This window comes from Homo sapiens, chromosome 16 (assembly GCF_000001405.40).
Source record: "Homo sapiens chromosome 16, GRCh38.p14 Primary Assembly".
In the NCBI taxonomy this organism is placed as follows: domain Eukaryota; kingdom Metazoa; phylum Chordata; class Mammalia; order Primates; family Hominidae; genus Homo; species Homo sapiens.
The window spans coordinates 4,018,338-4,044,968 of record NC_000016.10 but is presented as its reverse complement, the minus strand read 5'-3'; the positions used below and the strand labels follow the sequence as shown (position 1 = coordinate 4,044,968).

Below are 26,631 nucleotides of genomic sequence, written 5' to 3'. Positions count from 1 at the left end.
GCACAGCCTCATCTCGTAAAGAGTTGGCAGTCACGTGCGGGAGCCGGGAGCCCGTTGCTGTGAGGCCGGGAAGTGGATTGTTGGTCTGGGGAAAGATTTATTTTCTGGGGGCAAAAGAGGCGGGGTGGAGAGTCCCTCCGCCTGCCTGGAGTGCTGATGTGGCCTCAGAGCTAGGTCCTGAAAAATTGCTGGGATTTAGATGCAGGCTCTACATGTAGAGAGATTGTTTAAATGTATAATGGTTCAGAAGTGACACTCTCTTGCTATGTTTCTCTGAAAATAGATCAGCCTTCTCTGTTGGGATCTATGAAGCTCCAGAGATAAAACTGATATACATTAAAGTGGCTCGTGGTTAAAGGAAGTATGTTTGTTAATATTAAACCGAGGTTTCTCTGGTAACTAGATTTTAAATGATTTGATTCCATAGGTTTATAATGGAGAAATCCAGATCTCCAAAATGTAAGTTTTACTATATGGGAAGCCTTTTTTTGATTTCCTTTGCTGTGTTTGGTAAATAGCCTGGAAGAAAATGGCTCCGTCCTATCACAGAATTTTATTATTTACTTCATAAACCTAGTGTTTTAGAATTTTTTTTTTGTTTTTTTGTTTTTTTGTTTTTTTTGAGATGGAGTCTCACTCTGTTGCTCAGGATGGAGTGCAGTGGTGCGATCTCAGCCCACTGCAACCTCCGCCTCCTGGGTTCAAGCGATTCTCCTGCTTCAGCCTCCGGAGTAGCTGGGATTACAGGCACACACCACCACACCTGGCTAATTTTTGTATTTTTAGTAGAGATGGGGTTGCACCATGTTGGCTAGACTGGTGTCGAACTCCTGATCTCAGGTGATCCGCCCACCTGGGTCTCCCAAAGTGCTGGGATTACAGGCATGAGCCACCGTGCCTGGCCTAGAATTTTAAAAAGATTCTTTGTAGTTTAGATGGTTCTAGTTAAGCTATTTCATTTTTTTAAAAAGGAAGAAACTAGCATTCAATGTCTGCCTAGAAAACAAAAATAAAAAAACAACAAAAAAGGAAGAAACTGAGGTCTGTGGCACTTAAGTGCCCCACTCAAGGTTGCAGAGTTCCTAGTGATGTTATTTTTTAATGAACTTTTCTTCTCCTTCTCTTTTTTGTTAAATTTTGGCAGACTGTTTTACCAAAGCCTAACTGTACTTTTCTTAATTAACTTTGGAATGAATTCTGGATATACTCATTCCAGCAATGCACAGAAAATTCTAGGCAAAGAATAAAAGACTCCACATTGTTTATTATTATTATTTTTGAGATGTAGTCTTGCTCTGTTGCTCAGGTTGGAATGCAGTGGCGGAATCTTGGTTCACTGCAACCTCTGCCTCTCATGTTCAAGTGAGTCTCCTGCCTCGGCCTCCCAAGTAGATGAGATTACGGGCAGCTGAGATTACAGGCACGTGCCACCATGCCTGGCTAATTTTTGTATTTTTAGTAGAGATGGGGTTTCACCATGTTGGCCAGGCTGGTCTCGAACTCCTGACCTCAAGTGATCCTCCTGCCTCGGCTTCCCAAAGTGCTGGGATTATAGGTGTGAGCCACCGCGCCGGGCCAGACTCCACATTGTGAAAAAACGAGGGAACCGCTTCTGATTTTGCTCCAGTGGTGTATTCCTCTGTCTTGTTATAATGCTTTATGTTTACATATAACACATTATACGATTTTTAAAGCAACCCCACAGGGAAGAGTTTTAATTTTTTGTTTGTTTGTTTTTGAGACAGAGTCTTGCTCTGTCGCCCAGGCTGGAGTGCAGTGGCGCCATCTGGGCTCACTGCAAGCTCCGCCTCCCGGGTTCACGCCATTCTCCTGCCTCAGCCTCCCAAGTAGCTGGGACTTCAGTCGCCCGCCACCACGCCCGGCTAATTTTTTGTATTTTTAGTAGAGATGAGGTTTCAGCATGTTAGTCAGGATGGTCTCGATCTCCTGACCTCGTGATCTGCCCGCCTCGGCCTCCCAAAGTGCTGGGATTACAGGCGTGAGCCACTGCGCCCGGCCGAGTTTTAATATTTTTAGTCCTGTTTTACAAAGGGGAGAAACGAAGCACAGAGAAGTTTAGGAACTTGCCCAAATCATACAGTTGATAAGTTAGCAGACCAAAACCGGAATCGTCCAAACGGAGTGGCAGCCAGAAAGCATTTTATAGGTAAAGTCACATCCTACACTGTAAATAAAAACCTCTTGGAACACAGAGTTCGCCAGGTGGCTGTTGGATTTTCATGTCAGCGCTGGTCTAGCTCCGTTTTGCAGGATTTTTTGTTGTTGTTATCACAGTATATTCTAAAAATAACTATATGTTCATTTCCACTCTTTCAGATAATTAATATTTATAAATCCTAGTCACTAGGAAATATAGTTCAACCAACAATTGAATGGAATGCAGGTCCTCTGGGAACTTATCTAAAATTAAATCCTATTTTAACAGAATTAGCTAGATTAAGGTCATGGTGTAAAAACTGATTTTTCAGAAGGAAATAAAAATGCAAAATATCCTAAGAATTCATTTTGTAAATAATTGAATCAAATAACAATGGGGCGGGGAAGAAGCCATATATTTTTCCTCTCTTTTTAGAAATGAATTGAAGGCCAGACATGCTGGTTCACATGTAATCCCAGCACTTTGAGAGGCCAAGCGGGAGAATTGCTTAAGCCCAAGAGTTTGAGACCAGCCTGTGCAACATAGGAAAACCCTGTCTCTACAAAAGAATTTAAAAACAGCTGAGTCAGCTGGGCGCCGTGGCTCACGCTTGTAATCCCAGCACTTTCGGAGGCTGAGGTGGATGGATCATAAGGTCAGGAGTTTGAGACCAGCCTGGCCAACATGGTGAAACCCCCGTCTCTGCTAAAAAAACAAAAATTAGCCAGGAGTGGTGGCGGACGCCTGTAGTCCCAGCTACTCAGGAGGATGAGGCAGGAGATCTGCTTGAACCCGGGAGGCAGAGGTTGCAGTGAGTCGAAATCACACCAGTACACTTCAGCCTGGGCGACAGAGCAAGACTCCGTCTCAAAAAAAAAAAAAAAAAAAAAACTTAGCTGGGGGCAGTGGCACATCCCTGAGGTCCCAGCTACTTGGGAGGCCGAGGTGGGAAGATGGCTTGGGCCCAGGTGATCGAGGCTTTAGTGAGCTGTGATTACTCCACCGTACTCCAGCATGGGCAACACGGTGAAACCTTGTCTCAAAAAAAAAAAAAACAAAAAAAATCAGATAAATAAAAACAAAAAATTGTTTAGACTCATGAATCATCAACTTTTTCTTTTTCTTTGCCCATTTTCTTTTTTAAGTATTAGCTTGGCATTAAAGCAGTAGTATATGAAGATGGAATTTGCTAGTACTTTATTTGTGATTCCAGAGTTAAATGCTACTGCAATCAAGTCTTCCTTGAATTTAGCAATAGATTTAAAAGTTTAGAAAGAGCCTCTTTTTTTTTTTTTTTTTTTTTTGGTTTTAATACGGGGCCTTGCTTTGTCGCCCTTGCTCGATCGCCCAGTGATCTCAGCTCACTGCAACTTCTGCCTCCTGGGTTTAAGTGATCCTCCTGCTTCAGGCTCCCAAGTAGCTGGGATGACAGGCGTAAACCACTACGCCCAGCTACATTTTGTGTTTTTAGTAGAGACGGAGGTGTCACCATATTGGCCAGGCTGGTCTCAAACTCCTGACCTCAGGTGATCCACCTGCCTTGGCCTCCCACAGTGCTGGGATTACAGGCGTGAGCCACCATGCCCAGCCCAAGTCTAGCTCTTTAGAAGGAAAAAATAAGGGTAGAAATTCAGAGAAGGATGAGTGTGGAGTGGCTTCCTTGCTCTATTTCTAGAATATGCCATTTCTTGGGAAGTCTTATGACCCTGCTGGTCTTTAATGTCCCCTATATGATTTTCCTCCCTGGGCTTTGATTCTCTGCTTTATCTCCTGTGGTCTTTTCCATCCAGAAATTTTGAAGGGGTATTTACCTTCAACTTAAAACTGACTACTACAGGTAAGTAGTGGCCCTGCTGTTTCCACCCTCCCATGTCTACTGGAAGCAGAATTGTTTCACCTGTCTCGTTGGAAAATCAAATGAGGTAATGGAAATGAAAAGTACTACACAAGTGTGATTATTAAAGACAGTTCAGTCAATAGGTGAAAAGACTCGTGTAGATACTTTATTTAACCTGGAATCAATGTCTTATACTCAGTAGACACTCCTTAGATGTGAGTTTAAAGATGTCATTACTCCTATAATACCAGCACTGTGGGAGGCCAAGGCGGGTGGATCACCTGAGGTCAGGAGTTCGAGACCAGTCTGGCCAACATGGTGAAATCTCGTCTCTACTAAAAATACAAAAATTAACCAGGTGTGGTGGCGGCTGCCTGTAATCCTAGCTACTCGGGAGGCCGAAGTGGGAGGATCGCATGAACCCAGGAGGTGGAGATTGCAGTGAGCCGAGATTGCGCCACTGCACTCTAGCTTGGGTGACAGAGCGAGACTCTATCTCAAAAAAAAAAAAAAAATTAAGAAGATGTCATTTTAATGAGCAGTTCTTTGTTAAGTAAAGAAGAAGAGGAAACCAGGAAATATGATAGTGCTTGGCCACCTCACCAAGTGTTTGTCTTAAAAGAAGCTTTCTTGATTAAGTAAAAATTTAAAAGGAAGGAAAGAAAAACCCAACCTCACCGCAACAAACTACCCTAGTCTGAGGTAATTGTGTAGTGTAATGTCCCTACACCTGAATTTTTCATGCACCTGCAGATTTAGGGGCTCTGCCTATCTTTGAGTATAAATGTCCACTGAATTATTAGCAAAATGATTTGTTCTCAGAAACCAAAATTTTAGCCTAGATGAATGCCGCCATTGGAGTTATTTATATGAAAAGGCGTGTTAAGCTCAATGGTCTTCTCTTCTCTTCTCTTGTTTTCTTTTCTTTTGGATTTGAGACAGGGTTTTGCTCTGCCACCCAGCCTGGAGTGCAGTGGTGCAATCATGGGTCACCGCAGCCCCTACCTCCTGGGCTCAGGTGATCCTCCCACTTCAGCCTCCCAAGTAGCTGGGACTACAGGTGTGCACCATCATGCCCAGCTAATTTTTGCATTTTTCGTAGAGATGGGATCTCACTATGTTACCCAGGCTGGTCTTGAACACCCGAGCTCAAACGATCCGCCTGCCTCGACCTCCCAAAGGGCTGGGATTACAGGCGTGAGTCCCTGCACCTGACCTCAATTGTTCCTTTCAGCAAAAGTAAAATTTTAACTTTCAAGGGTGCAATCCTGCTTTTTTTTTTTTTTTTTTTTTTGAGACAGAGTTTCACTCTTGTTGCCCAGGCTGGAATGAAATGGTGCGATCTCGGCTCACTGCAACCTCTGCCTCCCAGGTTCAAGTGATTCTCCTATCTCAGCGTCCCGAGTAGTTGAGATTACAGATACATGCCACCGTGCCTGGCTAATTTTTGTATTTTTAGTAGAGATGGAGTTTCATCTTATTGGTCAGGCTGGCCTCGAACTCCTGACCTCAGAACATCTGCCTGCCTCAGCCTCCCAAAGTGCTGGGATTACAGGCGTGAGCCACCGCACCTGGCCTGCAATCCTGCATTTAAAGCATTTTTAAAGTGTCGTTGGAACACTTAAAAAGACAAGAATTAAAACAGTAGCAGAACACCTAAAATGGCAAGGAAACGGCATGAGGGCGTGTAACACAGAAAGGGGTGGGTGTTTGAGAAACAGCACCGCAAGTACGTGGGGAAGCGGCAAAGATGGAGGACATGGGAGATGGGGGTGGAAAGGGGCTTGGGGCCTGGTAGTGAAAGACTTTGCATGCCACGTTAGAGTCTCTGCTCTGTTCTGTTAGCAGGAGTTTGTAGTAGTACCTATTCACAGACTGGTGCGGGTTAACTGTGAGGGTAATGCGTGTAAGGTGCTTAGAACAGTGTTTGACACATAATCCGTATTCTCTAAATCTTAGTTGTAGGAGATGTTGTTGCTATTATTTTTATAAAAGGGCAAGCATTACGAGTTTCAGAGCAAGGCTTATGGGGTGATAATATAATGGAGGATGAATTGGAAGAGGAGAAACTGGAAGCCTGGAGAATGGTTTGGAAGCTCTTTGCTGGGGCCCGAGAGACATTCAGGGTTCAGGCAGTGGGAGTGGAAGGAAAGTAGTGGATTCCACAGCGAGACTTGGCAGGGCTTGATGGTGAGGGAAAGGAAGGAGAAGAAAGTGACCTGGAGGCTTCTGGTTTGGATGGTTGGGGAGTGATGACCCCGAGAGAAGAGAGGAGAGAAACAGGGTTGTGAGGATGAGACCCAACTACTCTGTTCCTCTTTTCTCAACTGAAACCATGCTGACTTCATACTGCAAAGAGTGTACAGCGACACGGTATCTCAGTCCGTTTTACTGCTGCAACAAAATACCTGCAACTGGGTGATTTCCAAACAATAGAAATTTATTTCTTACAGTTCTGGAGGCAGTTCTGGAGGCCGAGAAGTCCAGGATCGAGGCCTTGGCATTGGGTGTCTGGTGCCATGTCCTCACATGACAGAAGAGCAAAGGCTACGGACTCGTTCCCTCAGGCCTTTCATGCGGTTGCTCACCCCTAAGCCCTCTCGTATTAGGGTCTTCATCCCATTTGAGAAGGTGGAGCACTCATGACTTCTTCCTTACCTCCTAAAGACCCCACTGCCTTTTTTTTTTTTTTTGAGACAGAATCGTACTCTGTCGCCCAAGCTGGAGTGCAGGGGTGCAATCACGGCTCACTGCAGCCTGGACCTCCTGGGCTCAGGCGATCCCCCCACCTCAGCCTCCCTTGTAGCTGAGACCACAGGCGTGTGCCACCACGTCTGGCTCATTAAAAACAATTTTGTTTTTGTAGAGACGGAGTCTTCGCTGTGTTGCCTAGGCTGGTCTTGGACTCCTGGACTCAAGTGATTCTTCCACCTCAGCCTCCCAAACTGTTGGGATTACAGGTGTTGAGCCACTGTGCCAGTAAGACCCCACTTAATACCATCCCTTCGTGATGAAGTTTAAACACGTCAATTTTGGGGGACATTTAGACCATAGCACATAGGTTTCAAAAATGAGTCAAAGCCTTAAATGGATTGTCTCTTTTCTAGTACCAGCTGATAGGCCTCACGTCTGTTCACTGCCTTCTGATGCTCCTCCTTAACCCTGTGTAGGACTCTGTAGTACAGGTCTCCGCTCAAAGACAGTTGTAAACGTGGCACAGTTAGTCAAGAGCATTACAATAAAAAATGCTCAGCATCACTCATCACAGAGAAATGCAAATCAAAACCAGAAGGAAATATCACCTTATGCCAGTCAGAATGGCTATTAGAATTATATGAGAATAATATTAAGAAGTGGGGTCTTACTGGGCACAATGGCTATTATTAATCCCACTACTAGATATCTACCCAGAGGAAAAGAAATCGATCTATCAAAGGGATACCTGCACTTGTATGTTCATCACAGCAATGTTGGCAATAGCAAAGGTATGGAATCAATGTGGCCATCATCGAATGGATGGGTAAAGAAACTGTGGTATATGTATATGCAGTGGGATACTGTCCAGCCATCAAGGGGAACAAAACCCTGTTATTTACAATAACATGGATGGAACTGAAGGTCATTATTATTATGATTATTTTTTATTTTTATTTTTTAGAGAAGAGTCTTGCTCTGTTGCCCAGGTTAGAGTGCAGTGGCACAATCATAGCTCACTGCAGCCTTGACCTCCTGGGCTCAAATGATCCTCCCACCTCAGCCACACGAGTAGTTGGGACCACAGGCATGTACCACCATGCCTGTCTAATTTTGTTTATTTTTTGTAGACATGGGGTCTCACTATGTTGCCCAGGCTGGTCTTGAACTCCTGGGGCTCAAGCGATTGTCCCACCTTGGCCTCTCGAAGTTCTGGAGTTACAGGCATGAGCCACCATGCCCAGCTTGGAAGTCATTAAGTGAAGGAAGCCAGACACAAAAGACATATTGCATGTTCTTATATGTGGGAGCTAAAAGGTTTGATCACATGGAGGTAGAGAGTGGCAAGAAGGGTAACAGAGGCTGGGAAGGGTGAGTGGCGGGGAGGAGAAGGGTCAAGAGAAGTCGGTTAAAGGGTACCATCATGCAGTAACGTAGAAGGAATAAGTTCAAGGCTTGAGAGCAGAGTAATATTATTCTAATATTATATATATTCTCACCTAACAAAAAATGTATTGTGGCTGGGCATGGTGGCTCCCGCCTATAATCCCAGCACTTTGGGAGGCCAAGACAGGCAGATCACCTGAGGTCAGGAGTTCGAGACCAGCCTGGCCAACATGGCGAAACCCTTTCTCTACTAAAAATACAAAAATTAGCCGGGTGGTTGGTGGGTGCCTGTAATCCCAGCTACTCTGGAGGCTGAGGCAGGAGAATTGCTTGAACCTGGGAGGCGGAGGTTGCAGTGAGCCGAGATTGCACCACTGCACTCCAGCCTGGGTGACAGAGCGAGATTGTCTCAAAAAAAAAAAAAAAAAAAACAAACAAACCCCAAAACCAAAATGTATTGTATTTGAGTGATGGGCACCCTGAATGCCCTGACTTCATCACTGCGCATTATATACATGCCATAAAATTTCTCACATACCCTCCAAGTTTGTATAAATAAAAAGGGGGTGTTGAATACAGACTTTCAAAGAAAAAGCATTCTGCTCAAAACTCATAAGGGGACGTGGTGTGTGTGTGAGTTCTGAAAGAAGTTTGAAGGACCAGGGTTGACCACATGATCACGGGAAACAGCAGCTCCTGGGTTGCTTCAAGGTGCTGTGGCTGTTGGTGGATGAAATCAGCCTACTAGGAGATAGGAAGATACAAGGAGCTTCTCCAGTGTACTGGAAGATCACAGCTCTGGCATCATGGGATCTAAGGAGCTGGCTTGTCTTTAGTGAAGGGAGGGGGGCTGGGGCCCCTTGGAATCTTTTTTTTTTTTTTTTTTTTTTTTTTTGAGATGGAGTTTCACTCATTTGCCCAGGCTGGAGTGCAATGGCACGATTTGGGCTCACCACAACCTCCGCCTTCCGGGTTCAAGTGATTCTCCACCCTCAGCCTCCCAAGTAGCTGGGATTACAATCATGTGCCACCACGCCTGTCTAATTTTGTATTTTTAGTAGAGACGGGGTTTTTCCATGTTGGTCAGGCTGGTCTCAAAACTCCCGACCTCAGGTGATCCGCCTGCCTCGGCATCCCAAAGTGCTGGGATTCCAGGTGTGAGCCACCGTGCCCGGCCCCCTTGGAATCTTTAAGGCCAAGACCTGGGAGGCTGGAGGTCGAGCATGAAACAAAGCGAAATTTCCCTGAGAAGGAAGAAAGAAGTGAGGATTCCCTGAAACCAAGAAGCAGCTCTGTGTTCCCATCTTTCCTCGTGTGTGTCATTGGCTTCCCATGCATATAGGCTTTGCGAGGCAATCTAAGCATGTGTGCACGTGTGTTTTGTGTTTTTGTGTATAATTGAGTATGGCTGACTTTTGAGTGGGCACCCATAATCACTCTGTATGGCAATTACACTTATATTAACTTTAATCCATTTCAGAGTAATGACTCATAATATTTAATACCCACATATCATTGTGTATTATATATTAAGTAATTATTAAGATATAATAGCTGTCCTGTGGTTCTTTCTGCAGTTCTGCAATGCATAAGTAAATATATATCTACTTAGCACCTGGCAGAATTCTGACACTGGTTCCCTGGAGTGAGGGCTGTTGTGGTAGCAAAGGCCAAGTGGAAGCTGCCAGAACTGCCTCTGTCTACCAAAATAGTCAACCCAAAGCAATTATCACATTCCTGGGAGGATGGCAGAGATTAGTGCCACCATCAGGGACTTGAAAGATGCAAGGGTGGTGATCGTGTCACATCTCCGTTTAATCCATATTTGGCTTGTCTAGAAGACGGATGGATCTTAGAGAATGACAGCAGGTTGTCATAAACTTAAACTAGGCGGTGACTGCAGTTACAGCTGCTGTGCCAGATGTGTTTTTGTTGCTGGAACAAATCAACACATTTCCTGGTACCTGGTATGCGGTGAGTGTCTTCTCCTTCTCTACCTGGTAGTAAAGATGACCAGAAGGGTCTTGCTTCCAGCCGGCAAGGTCCACAGCCCGCCTTCATAGTTACACTTCAGGGGTCTGTCAGCTACCAGCCTTATGTTATCACTTCAGTCTCCTTCTTCATTCCATGGGGTGCCAACGGATAACCACTCAGATAGAATGTAAAAGGACTTTGGGCCAGGTGCAGTGGCTCATGCCTGTAATCCCAGCGCTTTGGGAGGCTGAGGTAGGCAGATCACTTGAGGTCAGGAGTTTGACACCAGCCTGGCCAATATGGTGAAACCCCATCTAATAAACCCCTACTAATAATACAAAAATTAGCTGGGCCTGGTGGCAGGTGCCTGTAATCCCAGCTACTCAGGAGGCTGAGGCAGGAGAAACTCTTGAACCTGGGAGGCGGAGGTTGCAGTGAGCCGAAATCGTACCAGTGCACTCCAGCCTGGGTGACAGAGTGAGACCTTGTCTCAAAAAAAGTTCATAAAAGGACTTTGGCTCCTCTTCTGGGGAGAGGGTTAGCATGGTTTTGGTTGTAAGACGGATAGTAGCATTATATGGCATGGAAGCCTAGTTGCTATTTACTTGATTTGGAAGTTAAGTACGGTTGAAAAGAGGAGTAGATATGGACACCAAGTTGACAAGGGGTACGTGTAGTGAGTTCGTTTTGCGTCACCTTGGCTAAGTTGGAGCTCTGTATGTAACTTGAGCCACAAGAGACCATTTGTGTAAGACCGAGAAGGCAGAGGGGACACAGCAGCCACATGCACTGTGGCTCATGCACGTGGTCTCTGATCTGCAGGCTCACCTTGTTGGCGCACGGCAGCCATCAGGCCTGTACCTCTTCTGAAACCCACCAAATCTTTCGTTGTTCCCCTCATCTGCGTATGTGGCAGACAGTTTTTCTATGTTTTCAGGCAATTGTTGAGCAAATAATAATAGAATTTTTGAACAGGCCAGCATCGGTGCTAATATGTGCCAGGCACAGATCTGAGCCCTTTAGAGTATTTACTCATTTAATCCTCAAAACCCTGTAAAGTCACTGATGTTGCCATAATCTGTCAGACTCAGAAACTGAGGCACAAAGAGGTTAAGTAATTGCTTAAGCCTTCACAGGAATTGGGATCTGAACCCAGGCATTTTGGTGTCGAGTCCATGAACTGACGAAGAACATAGATAACTGTTGTCAGCTTGTCAAGGCTCATGCCTGTAATCCCAGCACTTTGGGAGGCCGAGGCGGGTGGATCACAAGGTCAGGAGATTGAGACCATCCTGGCCACCATGGTGAAACCCTATCTCTACTAAATCATAAAAAATTAGCGTCTGTAGTCCCAGCTACTCAGGAGGCTGAGGCAGGGGAGTCGCTTGAACCTCGGTGGTGGAAGTTGCAGTGAGCCAAGATTACACCACTGCACTCTGGCCTGGCGACAGAGCAAGACTCCGTCTCAAAAAAAAAAAAAAAAAAAATTACTTCAAGGAGAGACTGCTGAGGGTTCCTCTGTCTCCTGTGTGGATGGAATTTGGCCTCCATTTGGAATCGGGAATCTTGCATATTTAGTTCTGCAGTATTACGTGAATCTACGGAAGCAACTCATTTGGAATTAGATTCCAAGCCGTTATAAATAATAAATTTTTTGTCTCTGTCATTTTTGTAGTAACAGCAAGAGAAAAGAATTTAGGACCAAAACTTATGAGAGTTTTAAATATTTTTTGCTAAGTGCTTATATGTGATTTATGGGAAAATCATAATTTTTACCCTGGAAGGCAGCCTTACTCATAAAGAATGGCCATCTTGTAGCACCTCCAGGACATCAGTCTGAAGTCTAAGTTAGGTGTGTTTGCACAGCAACCAAATGGTGAGAGCATTTAGCAGCTGGGGGACGGCGGCATTGTTGTGATTGGGTTGCCACGTGGTGGGGCGGGTGAGGGACGGCAGCAGAGCCTTGGCAGAGCGGAGCTGTGTGGCCGACGGCTTCCTCTTTCTTCCTCCAGCGTGCGATTATAACTTGTTGCTCATGCACCGGCATGCAGCTCTGTTTGCTCAGTCTGTTTTTCTGTAAAGTCTCTTTTTAAAAAAGTATATGATACAGGCTGGGCACGGTGGCTCATGCCTGTAATCCGAGCACTTTGGGAAGCCAAGGCAGGTGGATCACTTGAGGTCAGGAGTTCAAGACCAGCCTGGCCAACATGGTGAAACCTCACCTGTACTAAAAATACAAAAAATTAGCCGGGCATGGTGGTGGGCACCTGTAATCCCAGCTACATGGGAGGCTGAGGCACGAGAATCTCTTGAACCAGGGAGGCAGAGGTTGCAGTGAGCCGAGATCTCACCATTGCACTCCAGCCTGGGCAACAAGAGCAAAACTCCATCTCAAAAAAAAAAAAAAATTGTGTGATATAGATGGAAGACCACGTAAAATAAATGTACAATCTGATTGTTATAAGGTGACCGCCTTTGCATATCTACCAGGCAGGTTGCAGGAGAGCACAGCCAGCCACCCAGCAGCCGTCCTGCCCTCCACCTGCCGCAGGGGGCCAGATCTTGCCATTCCTGGTGGTCCCGTCTCTGCTCTTCTTGGTTTTCTTTCTTTCGTTCTTTCTTTTTTTTTTTGAGATGGAGTCTTGCTCTGTTGCCCAGGCTGGAGTGCAGTGGTGCCATCTCTGCTCACCACAACCTCCACCTGCTGGGTTCAAGCAATTCTATTGCCTCAGCCTCCCGAGTAGCTGGGATTACAGGCACGGGCCACCATGCCTGGCTAATTTTTGTATTTTTAGTAGAGATGGGGTTTCACCATGTTGGCCAGGCTGGTCTCGAACTCCTGACCCTGTGATCTGCCCGGCTCGGCCTCCCAAAGTGCTGGGGAGGTGTGAGCCACTGCGCCCGGACTTTTTGGTTTTCTTATCCAACTGTGAGTCCTTCAACACTTGGCGTCGGGTGTTTGGCTTGTCTGTTTTTTGGCTTGCTTTTGCTTTTTTCTCCAACTTTTAATTTAATTTTAATTAATTAATTTTATTTATTTATTGAGACAGGGTCTCAGTCTGTCACTCAGGCTGGAGTGTAGTGGCACGATGATGGCTCACCTCTGCCTCGACCTCCCAGGCTCAGATGATCCTCTCACCTCTGCCCCCTGAGGAACTGGAACTACAGGTGTGCACCACCATGCCTGATTAATTTTTGTATTAGCCAGTGGTTTCGCCATGTTACCCAGGCTGGTCTCAAACTCCTGGGCTCAAACAATCCACCCGCCTCGGCCTCCCAAAGTGCTGCGATTCCAGGTGTGAGCTACTGTGCCTGGCCTTCGCAACTTTTCATTTTGATAAATTTCAAACCTACAGAAAAGTTGAAATAATAGTATAATGAACACTAATATCCCACTTCACCTGATTGACCCGTGGTTAACATTTTGCCAAATTTCTTTGGCTGTCTCAGTGTAGGTGTGTATATATGTATGTGTGAATATAATTATACACACATTTGTGCAAGAACCCTGAATGGGATATAATACAGTACACACATATGTATGTGCATATGTGTATGTGTGTGTATCTATATTTGTCCTCTTTTTTCTTTGCTGAGCCATTGAACCGTTAACTGACTAAATTGCAGACATTGTGGCCCTGCACCCTTAAATTCTTCAGCATGTATCTCCTATGAACAAGGACATTCTCCTGTACAGACAAAACAAATTATCCTACTCAAGAAATATAACATTGACAGAATACTCTTATAAAATATATAGTTCATGTTCAAATTTCCCCAGCATCTAACAGTATCCTTTAGAGCTTTTATGGTGTTCATCCAGGATCCAATCAGGGATGATCTTTTCCTAAAAGAGGACACTCAAGATCTAGATCTAGAACAGTTCCGCACATTTTTTTTTCTTTACTGCTATTGGCATTTTTGAAGAGTTTGGTTTCCTGTTTCTTAAAATAAATTTTGCATTGAAGTGTAATATGCATACATAAAATGCATAAGTGTACAGTTTGAAGAATTATCACAAAAGGAACACATCCACTAAACCAGCACCCAGATGAAACAGAATATCCCAGAAGCCTCCCTCGTGTCCCTCCCAACGCTACCCACTTCCTCCTTCTAAAGGTAACCATGTCCTGACTTCTGGCACCATAAATTGCGTTTGCCTGTGTTTGAATTTCGTACAAATGGAACCTGCAGTGTGTATTCTTTTTTTTTTTTTGAGACCGAGTTTTGCTGTTGTTGCCCAGGCTGGAGCGCGATGCCATGACCTCGACTCACTGCAACCTCCACCTCCCAGGTTCAAGTGATTCTCCTGCCTCAGCTTCCTGAGGAGCTGGGACTACAGGCACCCACCACCATGCCTGGCTGATTTTTTGTATTTTTAGTAGAGACGGGGTTTCACCATGTTGGCCAGGTTGGTCTCAAACTCCTGACCTCAGGTAATCCACCCGCCTAGGCCTCCCAAAGTGCTGGGATTACGGACTTGAGCCACTGCCCCTGGTCAGTATATATTCTTTTGTGGCTGCCTCTGTCACTCAGTGTAAAGTTTGTGAGCTTCATTCCTGTTGCCTGTTGCTTACGCTGGGGTTCCTTCATCGTCACTGCTGTTGTGCCTTCTCGGTCATATCACAACGTATCCATCGATCCTCCTCTTGATGGATACATGGGTTGTTTCTGGGCTTTGACTTTTACAATAATCCCTGTGAATACTTACGTACTGTATCCTGGTGCACACTTGCATGCATTTCTTTGGCCGAAATCAATGTCTAGAAGGGGAATTATTGAGCCATAGAGTGTGAGTGTCTTCAACTTCCATCGGTAATACCGACTTGTTTTACAAATGGTGATAACAAATGGTGATAACATTGTTATCACCTCATACCCGTCAGCAGAGTATGAGGGTTCCTGTGGGTGGCTCTGCATCCTCACCAGCGCTTGTCACTCTGTTGAATTGCAGCCACTCTGGTGGGTGGGTGCAGTTTCTTTTGGTAATTTTCATTTGTGATTCTGTATTTGATTTGCAGTTCCCTGGCTGAGTGTCTTTTCATATGTCTGCTGGCCACCTGGGTTGGCTCTTCAGTGAAGTGCCTGTTCAGCTTTCTTACACATTTTTCTACTGAGTGGTCTGGTTTTGTTTTCTTATTGTTGGGCTTGTTTTGTTTTGTTTTGTATTGTCTTGAGACAGAGTCTCACTCTGTCGCCCAGGCTGGAGTGCAGTGGCACAATCTCGGCTCATTGCAACCTCCACCTCCCGGGTTCAACATTCTTTTGCCTCAGTCTCCCCAGTAGCTGGGATTACAGGCACGTGCCACCTCACCCAGCTAATTTTTGTATTTTTAGTAGAGATGGGGTTTCACCATGTTGGCCAGGCTGCTCTTCAACTCCCGACCTCGGGTGGTCCACCAACCTTGGCCTCCTAAAGTGCTGAGATTACATGTGTGAGCCCCCGGGCCTGGCCTCTTACTGATTTTGAGGAGTTCTTTATATTCAGGCTACCAGCCCTTTGTCAGTTATATGTGAGGCAAATACCTTCTCCCACTCTAGTTTTGCCTTTTTACTACGAAATTGCCATTTTTGTAGATCGAAATGGTCAAATATTGGCAATTGGCATATGGTTCAGCCTACCATAAAATTGATCCACTTTTTTTCTTTGTTAGGTGAGGACTTTTTTTGTCCTATTTCTCTACTTCTGAGGTCATGAAACTATAATATTATTTCCTAGATACTCTATTGTTTCACTTTTCAGATTTATGTCTATAATCCACGTGAAATGTGAACTGATATTTTTTGTGTACACTATGAGGTAGGGATCAAGTTTTACTTTAAAAAATATATAGCTAGGCCGGGCGCAGTGGCTCACGTCTGTAATCCCAGCACTTTGGGAGGCCGAGGAGGGTGGATCACGAGGTGAGGAGTTCGAGACCAGCCTGACCAAGATGGTGAAACCCCGTCTCTACTAAAAATACGAAAATTAGCCGCGTGCAGTGGCAGGTGCCTGTAGTCCTAGCTACTCAAGAGACTGAGGCAGGAGAATTGCTTGAACCCGGGAGGCAGAGGTTGCAGTGAGCCGAGATCGCGCCACTGCACTCTAGCTTGGGTGACAGAGCAAGACTCCATCTCAAAGAAAAAAAAAAGAAAAAAAGAAAATAGATAACGAATTGAGCACTTTTTATTAAAGACAGTTTTACTAAGGTATCATTTGCACACTATGAAGCTCAGCTGTGAAAAGTATACAATTTTATTTTTAGAAAATTTAGGGTATCATCTGGTTTTAGAACATTTCCATCATCCCATGAGGTCCATCATATCTGGTTTCAGGCAATACCTGCTTCCAGTCCCAAACCACAAATCTACTTTCTGTGTCTATAGATTTGCTTTTTCTAGACATTTCATATAATTGGAATCATGCACTATTGTAGTCTTTTGTAGCTGACTTCTCAATTAGCTTATTGTTTTTGAGGTTCTTCTGTATTGTAGCACAGATCAAGTATTTAGGTCCTTTTTCGTGAGTTAAATTCGGTGGTGTGGATATATCACAGTGTGTCCATCCATTCACCAGCTGCTGGACACGTGGATTATTCCCACGTCTTGGCTGTAATAAACAGAGCTGCTCTGAACATCGCTTGCAAGTCTTAGTTGTTTCCATTTCTCGTGAGTAGAGGCTTGGATTGGAATTGCAAGATTGTATGGTAACGTATAATTTTATTTTGCTAATTATCATTTGTGAACTGACTTTTTTCTCTTGCTATACGGTTCTAAGGATCATAACACATGTATAGGTTTTGTAGCCACCAGTACAATCAGGATACAGAACAGTTTAATCACCCCCCAAAAATCTTTCCCAAGGGTTGACCTTTTAATATGATTTGGCTGTGTCCCCACCCAAATCTCATCTTGAATTGTGACTCCCACAATTCCCACATGTTGTGGGAGGGACCCAGTGGGAGGTAATTGAATCGTGGGGGCAGGTCATTCCCATGCTGTTCTCGTGATAGTGAATAAGTCTCACGAGATCTGATGGGTTTTTTTTCTTTTTTTTTTTTTTGAAACGGAATTTTGCTCTTGTCACCCAGGCTGGAGTGCAATGGCATGATCTTGGCTCACCACAACCTCTGCCTCCTGGGTTCAAGCGATTCTCCTGCCTCAGCCTCCCAAGTAGCTGGGATTACAGGCATGGACCACCACACCCAGCTAATTTTTGTTTTACTAGTAGAGATGGGGTTTCACCATGTTGGCCAGGCTGGTCTCGAACTCTTGAGCTCAGGTGATATGCCCACCTCGGCCTCCCACAGTGCTGGGATTACAGGCGTGAGCCACCACGTCCAGTTGATCTGATGGTTTTATAAAGAGGAGTTCCCCTGCACACACTCTCTCTCTTCCCTGCCGTCATGGAAGACGTGACTTGCTCCTCCTTGCCCTCTGCCATGATTGTGAGGCCTCCCTAGCCATGGGGAACTGCAAGCCAGTTAAACCTTTCCTTCGTAATTACCCAGTCTCGGATAATTATAAAGTCTTTATGAACAGTGTGAAAACAGACTAATACACCCTTTATGGGTGTTACCAGTGGAGGGTCTTGACTACAAGTTGTCTGGGTTCTTAACCAGATTCTTGGCATTTTGAACAAAGAATTGGACAAAATGCACAAAGAAAGCAACGAGAAAACGAAGCAAGGGAAGCACAGATTTACTGAAATGAAAGTACACTCCACGGAGTGGGAGCAGGCTCGAGCAGGAGCAAGTGGCTGATTAGAGAATTTTCTGGAGCCTTAATACCCTGTAGAGGTTTACCATTGGTTACTTGGTTACACCCTATGTAAGTGAAGGAGTGGCCTGTGACCAGTCTGATTGGTTGCAGGAGGCGACCAATCAGAGGTTGAAGTGAAGTTGCAACGTTACACCTGAAGACCTGGCCTGGGACCAGTCTGGTTGGTTGCGGGAGGGAACCAATCAGAGGTACTTTCCATTTTTCATCTGCCACGAGGTGCAAAGGGAGTAGTAGCCTCTGATCCTTTTGTTACCTGGGTATGGTTTTCCTTTTGATTCAGTTCTAAAAAGTCAGGGTGAATCGGCCTTAAGTTCCCTGCCTCCAGGCCCCTGCCGACCCAGCAACAACTATCCATTCCCTGTAGTTTTGCCTTTGGGAGCCTGTCATTAAAATGGAACCACACAGCATGTACCCTTTGAAGACTGGTTTCTTCCACTTAGTCTAGAGCTATTGAGATTCGTCCTGGATGCTGCATGGGTCTCTAGTTCATTCCTTGTGATGCTGAGTAGTGCCCCATTGTGGGGAGGGACCACAGTGTGTTTATCCATTCATCCTGGGAAGGACATTAGGTTGGTTTCCAGGTTTTGGCAATTATGAATAGTGCCGCTACAAACATTTGCGTACAGCGTTTTTTGTAAACATAAGGTTTGATTTCTCTAGGGTAAATATCCATGATTGGGGTTTCTGGGTGTATGGTCATTGCAGGATTAACTTTTTTTTTTTTTTTTTTTTTGAGACGGAGTCTTGCTGTTGTTGGCTCAGGCTGGAGTGCAATGGCGTGATCTCAGCTCACTGCAATGTCCGCCTCCCGGGTTCAAGTAGTTCTCCTGTCTCAGCCTCCCGAGTAGCTGGGACTACAGGTGACGCCACCATGCCCAGCTAATTTTTGTATTTTTAGTAGAGACAGGGTTTCACCATGTTGCCTACGCTGGTCTCAGACTCCTGACCTCAGGTGATCCACCTGCCTTGACCTCCCAAAGTGCTGGGATTATAGGCGTGATCCACCGCGCCCAGCCTCTACTTTAGTTTCATAATGGGCTTTAATTTGTGAATTAACTTCTTGATGTATCTGCTCATCCATCCATTCATTCATTCATTTCTATATTCACCCAACAAATAGTTAAGTGCCTTACTTCTGTCTTTGCTATTTCTTTGCCTTTGGAGCACTGTTTTGAAAGAGCCAGCGCCCACTGTCAGCTGTCCAGCTGGTAGCACTGTCATCTGGAAGATTTTAGATACTTTCTCATGAGTGATTCTACACCAGCCTGAATCTCACACTACCTGACATCCTCTCAATCGTAGCCACACCCAAGGGTCCTACTTTGCTGTCCCCACTGCCACCAGACCAAACACACCCCCTTCCCTGAAAGTCTGGGAGTCGGTTTCTTCTTCACAATAGAAGTTGGCCTCTGCTGGTCATGCCCCAAACCTTCTGGAGCTGCGGGTTCTGCCTTCTCTGCAGCTGCCTTCCCGTGGGCTGCCCTGGTCAGTGCAGGACATGGCACAGGACCTCCGCCCTGCCACACCCCCGGGCCATTTCCTCGGCAGGCCTCGTGCCAGACTTCTCCAAAGGACTGACCGCGTGTGCCTTCTCCACCTTGCACACACTCGCACACCAACCTGCCAGCCTGGCCTGTGCTCTTCGCCGCCCAAACGCACCTCTCCCTGGTGTGGTCACTGACAGTCTTTGCGTGGCCAGTGGCCAAACCCAGGCTGGCTTTGCTAGTGGCCTCATCTTCTCTCTGCAGCGTTCACAGTGATCCACTTCTTTTTTTTTTTTTTTGGAGACAGAGTCTTGCTCTGTTGCCCTGGCTGGAGTGCAGTGGCACCAATGTCCGCTCACTGCAACCTCCACCTCCCGGGTTCAAGGCAATTCTCCTGCCTCAGCCTCCTGAGTAGCTGGGATTACAGTCATACACCACCATGCCTGGCTAATTTTTGTATATATATATTTTTTAATAGAGACGGGGGTTTCACCATGTTAGCCAGGCTGGTCTCAAACTCCTGAGCTCAGGTGATCCACCCGCCTCGGCCTCTCAAAGTGCTGGGATTACAGGCTTTAGCCATCACACCCAGCCCCCCTCCCTACCCCTTTGTCCCTCCTCAGAGCCCTGCTGGCCCACTTCCCTGGCCGTTCAAAACATTGCAGCTCCAAGGCTGCTTCCCAGGCCTCCCCACCTGCTGTCTTCTCCCTGGTGATATTATGGACAGTGGATCTCTGGCCCTGAGCTCCCTTCTGATTTCATGGTATGGCCACCTCCTTGTCCCTATCGCTTGAGCGTGTCACCAGCATCTTCAGCTTGGGAGGTCCAGAACTGAGCTCCTGATTTTGCCCCCTAAACTTTTACTTCTTCTGGTCTCACTCATCCGTCCACGTACTGAAGGCAGAACCCAGGAACCCAGGAAGTGTCCTTGTTCCCTTTGTTCACATCCTGTCGGTTCTGCCTAGACCTTAAATCATGAACCTGACCTAAGGCCACTCCAGCTTTTGCCTGGACCACAGCAAAAGGCCAGGAGTGAGCCCCCGCTTCTACTCCTGACACCTCCGGAGCCATTCGCCACCCAGAGCTGTGTAGGCTTTAAAAAGAGCCAGCCAGCCGCGTGGGATCCTGGATGGGATCCTGGAACATAAATCAGGTGAAAAATTGGTGAAACTCAAATCAAGTTCATCGTCTAGTTAATTTCCTGTTCTTGATTATCAAGCTGTGCTTGACGTCGTACAATAAGACATTCACGTTAGGAGAAGTGGAGCGAGGGATATATGAGAACTCCCTGTACCGTATATGTAACTTTCCTATATGATTAACATTAGTTTGAATTAAAAAGTTTTAAAAAATTGGATGGGTGCAGTGGCTTATGCCTATAATCCCGGCACTTTGGGAGGCTGAGGTGGCCGGATCATGAGGTCAGGACTTTGAGACGAGCCTGACCAACATGGTGAAACCCCGTCTCTACTAAAAATACAAAAATTAGCCAGGCATGGTGGTTGGTGCCTGTAATCCCAGCTACTCAGGAGGCTGAGGCAGGAGAATCACTCGAACCCAGGAGGCGGAGGTTGCAGTGAGCCGAGATTGTGTCATTGCACTCCAGCCTGGGCAACAGAGCAAGACTCAGTCTCAAGAGAAAAAAAAAAAGTTAAAAAATTAAAATGCAAAATAAGAAAGAATCGAACTGTGTGCTGTCTTACTTAAAACACTGCAGAGCTCTTGTGTGTGCCTAGCATGTAAGTCAGATGCCTCTTGTCGTTTTGAGACAGAGTCTCCTACCGTCCCCCAGGCTGGAGTGCAGTGGCGTAATCTCGGCCCACTGCAGCCTCCACCTCCTGGGTTCAAGCGATGCTCGTGCCTCAGCCTCCCAAGTAGCTGGGATCACAGGCATGTACCCCGCCTGGCTAATTTTTGTATTTTTAGTAGACACGGGGTTTCATCATGCTAGCCAGGATGGTCTCGAACTCCTTACCTCAAGTGATCCGCCTACCTCGGCCTCCCAAAGTGCTGGGATTACAGGTGTGAATCACTGCACCTGGCCAGGCAGAAACCTCTTAATGGCTCCCAGGGCCTGGCCCACCTCCCCAGCCTCCTCTCATGCCACACTTTCTTCCCTCAGTCTGCATCGGGAACAGTTGCCACCTTTCAGCCACGTGAGCATGCTGGGACCGTCCTTTCCATGCTGATCCCTGCATCCCTCGTGCCTTCCCCAGACCTACACCACCGCAATTGCCTCCATCTCACTGTGATATCTCCACTTCAGTCTCATTTCTTCAGAAAGGACGTCCCTGACTCTGTCCAAACCGCATGTTGGGTATTCTCTATTGCAGGAAGCTTTTGCTTTCTTCCTGGCTCTTAATCACAGCTGGTGACTCGGGTCCTTGCTTGTGGATTCTCCCTGCCACTGGTTCCTACCACTGAGTCAGGTGATGGACGCCATGTTCACAGTTTTATCACCAGCGTCTAGCGTGGCCTGCAGCGGGTGCTCCCATAGAACCCATAAACAAACAACTTCTTGTTTCTTATTATGTGAAGAAAGTTGGTCTGTGTAATTCACCCTCCAGAGAAATGACAGCACTTTCAGTACTTTGTTCTGCCCTTCCTTGATCTCCACGCTGTTTGCAGATGGACCACCGTTGTAGAGATGTGATTTGATTCTTGACGTTTCTGAGTGTCCACGGTGCTGCGCCTTCCCCCAGGTACTACAGTACTGAGATTAATAAGACAGAGTCAATGTAAGGTGTTAGTAGGATTTAGAATAGGTCTAATCTCATTCTTAACGGATTTCAGGAGCTTATTATGTGTTGAAAGAATGAATAGGATAAAAGTTGTTAAGAAATTTTCTCCGTTTAATTTTTATTTATTAATTTATATTTTAGAGACAGGGTCTTACTCTGATACCCAGGCTGGAGTGCAATGGTGCAGTCACAGCTCACTGAGGCTTTGAATTCCTGGGTTCAAGCAATCCTTCTGCTTCAGCCTCCCAAATTGCGGGGATTACAAGCATGAGCCACTGGCTCTGGCCTATTTTCTCCTTTTAAAAAAAATTGCTGCAGGTATACACATATGCACGGATATACACATACAAATATGTACCTTATACATATATGTATATAATAAATACATGCATATGCGGAATTGTGGCATAGTCTTAGTCTTTTTTTTTTTTTTTTTTTTTTTTGAGACGGAGTCTCGCTCTGGTGCCCAGGCTGGAGTGCAGTGGTGCAATCTCGGCTCACTGCAAGCTCCGCTTCCCGGGTTCACGCCATTCTCATGCCTCAGCCTCCTGAGGAACTGTGATTACAGCATGGGCCACCAGGCCTGGCTAATTTTTGTGTTTTTAGTAGAGATGGGGTTTCACCATGTTGGCCAGGCTGGTCTCAAACTCATGACCTCAAGTGATCCTCCCACCTCGGCCTCCCAAATTGCTGGGATTACAAGCATGAGCCACCATGCCTGGTTGTATTTAGTCTTTAACCTGTCCTCAGGCTGTTTCTCTCTGGGCAGGGAGAAGCATGGAAAGGGGGATGGGCCCTGGTGGCCACCTTTGAAGCATGGAGGCTCCGGTGCCACCCTGCCCTTAGGCTGGGCACAAAGGTGGCTGAGGGAAGGCTAGTCAGCTGCTGGAGGTGTCCTTTATGGTCTCAGTGATTAAAGGTTATGTTGTCCATGAATTTAATTTTATTTCATGATGGAAAAGAGGACATTGCAAATTAAGTATGTCACAGAAATGTAAGGAGCCATGGGGTCTGATAGGGCTGAGGGTGAGTGGCTTGCCGTCGAGTTTCCAGAAGGCGTTATTATGGACCCTAAAGGGGATTTCATGCGTTTCAAAGACTCTAACAGAAGTGTTCTGATGAAGTGGAGTCTGGTGCTGGGACCTGCCACTTCAGCCTGGAATTGTCCTCGTGTGAAGCGCAGTAAAAACCCAGAATGGATGTCGGCAATAAGGGAATTTCTGGGATATGATGGGGGAACGAATATTGTCACCTCCATTTGTGTCAGGAAGTCTCAGTATGCAGATGAGTCAGCTGCAGGGGGTGGCCTCCCAGGCTGCTGGTGGAGCCCAGAAGCAGGGGGCAGGCGTTTGGCCTCTGATACTCTCCTAGCTCTGAGTTGGGACGGAGCTCGTGTATCTACAGTGTGCTCACACAGACTTGGTGCCGGTAGATGGTGAGGGGATAGGTTGGCAGGTGGGTAGGGGGCCTCCCGAGGCAGTAGGGACCTGGAGGAGGCTGGTAGAAAGTGGAGATTGGCCAAAGTGACCTGAATTAGATTCTACCTGGTTCATGAATTTGCCTGAGGCTAAGGCTTCAGCGCAAGGGATGGTGGAGTAATACCTTTCCTGAAACACCTGCTGCCGGCGTGGCCTTGTCTGTCTCTGCCAGATCTTGTTAGCACTGTGGCTTCAGGCCTAGTTAAACATTCAAGCCCAATGCGGTTGGAGAGCACCCATGGCACGCCCATTGTGCAGCAGTGTGTTTAATACATGTGCTGCTTTTAATGGGTGTGAAAGATCAGAGAGCTTGGGTGTGTGTTTTACCAACCACTTTTTAAACTCACATAGTAAAATTTATAGTATATAAAAAGCAGAAAATATGGTGTATCTTCTAAATATTCACATTTAAAACATTTTTTAGAAATAATGTATGTCAAGCAAGGTCAAGCTAATGTGTTTATATAGGCTCTAAATTAGAGTTGTGAACCAGTATCTCATCCCACTTATAGGGTTTTTTTTGAAAACGTTCAAATGTTTCCAGCTCTTTTGTTTCTTTATTCTAAAACATTATCTGCTATTTTGTTCGATAGAGTAACTGTTTCTATTCCACTTTCTTTTTTTTTTTTTGAGACGGAGTCTCGCTCTGTCGCCCAGGCTGGAGTGCAGTGGCGCGATCTTAGCTCACTGCAAGCTCCGCCTCCTGGGTTCACGCCATTCTCCTGCCTCAGCCTCCCAAGCAGCTGGGACTACAGACGTGTGCCACCAAGCCCAGCTAATTTTTTGTATATTTTTTAGTAGAGAGGGGTTTTCACCTTGTTGGCCAGGCTGGTCTCGAACTCCTGGCCTCAAGTGATCCACCCGCCTCAGCCTCTCAAAGTGCTGGGATTACAGACGTGAGCCACCACGCCTGGCTTATTCCACTTTGTAATTGGCTATCCCTGCTATTAATATACAGGGTACTCTCCCTCTCGTATTTGCGTCTAAATGTCATCTATAATAAATAACAGTGAATACTTACTGGTTTCATATTTAGTTTTACTTTTATCCCACCCATTTTCTTTTAGTAGTTCTTATGACTTCACGTTTATTTAATAAAGGTAAAAAAGAACTTTCTGTTTCCAATTCATTCCTTTCACCAATAAGGAAGGATGTGGATCTTCACTGCTTCCTACATAGCTGCCAGCCTCATGTAGCTGTTTAAAATTTAAATTATAATTGAAATCATTAAAAAATTAATTCCTTGTTCATACTAGCTACATTTCGAGTGGTCAGTAGCCACATGTGCCTGGAGGCCACAGAACTGGACGGCTACAGGATGTACCCATCATCACGGGAAGTTCATAGAAAGTTCTTTTTCTTTTTCTTTTTCTTTTTTTGAGATGGAGTCTGCTGTGTTGCCCAGGCTGGAGTGCAGTGGCGCGATCTCAGCTCACTGCAGCCTTCACCCACTGGGTTCAAGTGATTCTTATGCCTCAGCCTCCCGAGTAGCTGGGATTACAGGCTCCCGCCACCACGCCCGGTTAATTTTTGTATTTTTAGTGGAGACAGGGTTTCACCATGTTGGCCAGGCTGGTCTCAAACTCTTGACCTCACGTGATCCTTCCACCTTGGCCTCCCAAAGTGCTGGGATTATAGGCATGAGCTACCATGCCTGGCATGTATCTCTTCTTCTCTAAGTACTCAGCTGTCTTGTTTGAGGCTAGTACCTCCACTAGTCTGGAACCCTCCTTCCTGGGCTTTCTGCCCACTTCCATCTCTCCTTTGACAACAGTGGTTTTTCCAGGGTCTGTGCAGAGCTCAGCTTTCTGCCATAAGACAGGGGAGTTTCTGAAGACTCCTCACCCCTTTTGGGAGTGAGGGCTGCTGACTGAAGCTCCAGGTCACTGTTTTATGAGCTAGCTCTCCGTTTGTTGATGGCCGGGGACCCAGCCTTTGTCCCCTCCTCTCGTGCTTGGGCACTCACTACTCACTGCCTCGGTTTTGCTTTCAGTTTTGATTGTGCATTGAGTCCACAACTTCAATGGGATTTTCTTAAGGCATAAATGACAGTTGCATGGTGTGCAGTGGGAGAACAAATCGCCCAGCCTGGGACATCCCTGGGTGGCAGAGTGGACCTGCTCTCAACTTATGGAATGTGCAGCAACACCTTGAGGTTATTAATAAATACCTGAGTCTGGGCATGGTGGTTCATGCCTGTAATTCCAGCACTTTGGCAGGCTGAGGCCGGAGGATCACTTCAGGCCAGGAGTTCAAGCCCAGCCTGGGCAACATAGTGAGATTCCATCTTTAAAAAAAAATTTTTTTTTAAAAGAAGGTGGGCTTGGTGGTGCACACCTGTCATCCCAGCTACTTGGGAAGATGAGGTGGGAGGATCACTTGAGCCCAGGACGTCGAGGCTGCAGTGAGCCGTGATCATGCCACTGCACTGCAGCCTGGGTGACAGAGAAAGACCTTTTCTCTTAAAAAAACAAAACAAAACAAAACACACACACACACACACAACTGCGATTCTTCCAGAAAAGTTCAGAAAAAGGAAGTCCGAAATACATAGTCCATAGTATTTCAGCCACCAGTGCTGCTGAAGTGAAATTAGAGATAGCAGAGATATCTCAGGAGAAAATGGAGGTTTTTGGGTTTCTCCGTTAGATGACTCGAACAAGTCTGCATGTGCTCTGTAAACAAGAAAACACAGTCTGGGAAACTGTCAGCCTCTGCCCCAGCCAGTGTGCAAAATACTCTTCAAAAGAGAGAAAACTAGAAAACAAGTTGAAAACCGGGTGATCTGACAAGTGTGGAAATTCACAGCAAGCATGTGCCTGTGCTGCAGATACGATCTGGGAGAGAGCCAGCAGCCTGGATCCACATTTCCCAGAAGCAACAGGTGGTGAAGGCAGCGGCATGACTGCTCCCGCGGAAGGTTAGTCACGCATGTTCAGCATCAGCCGGGCGCGGTGGCTCACGCCTGTAATTCCAGCACTTTGGGAGGCCGAGGCGGGTGGATCACTTGAGGTCAGGAGTTCAAGACCAGCCTGGCCAACATGGTGAAACCCCAACTGTACTAAAAACACAAAAATTAGCCGGGCATGGTGGCAGGTGCCTGTAATCCCAGCTACTC

The 26,631-nt window shown here is 46.1% G+C and overlaps 1 protein-coding gene across 3 annotated transcripts in view, besides 2 other annotated features; it reads left to right on the top strand.

The window, feature by feature from the left end:
- The window catches only part of ADCY9 (adenylate cyclase 9), a 163,056-nt gene that overhangs the window by 71,474 nt on the left and 64,951 nt on the right, over positions 1-26,631 (top strand). The window lies entirely within an intron of this gene.
- Positions 18,912-19,411: an enhancer, noted in NCBI's record as "H3K4me1 hESC enhancer chr16:4075559-4076058 (GRCh37/hg19 assembly coordinates)". NCBI's record gives its function as "activates a minimal SCP1, AML or CMV promoter by ChIP-STARR-seq in naive H9 embryonic stem cells {active_cell/tissue: H9 hESC(naive)}" and the evidence as "EXISTENCE:reporter gene assay evidence [ECO:0000049][PMID:30033119]".
- Positions 19,412-19,913: an enhancer, noted in NCBI's record as "H3K4me1 hESC enhancer chr16:4075057-4075558 (GRCh37/hg19 assembly coordinates)". NCBI's record gives its function as "activates a minimal SCP1, AML or CMV promoter by ChIP-STARR-seq in naive H9 embryonic stem cells {active_cell/tissue: H9 hESC(naive)}" and the evidence as "EXISTENCE:reporter gene assay evidence [ECO:0000049][PMID:30033119]".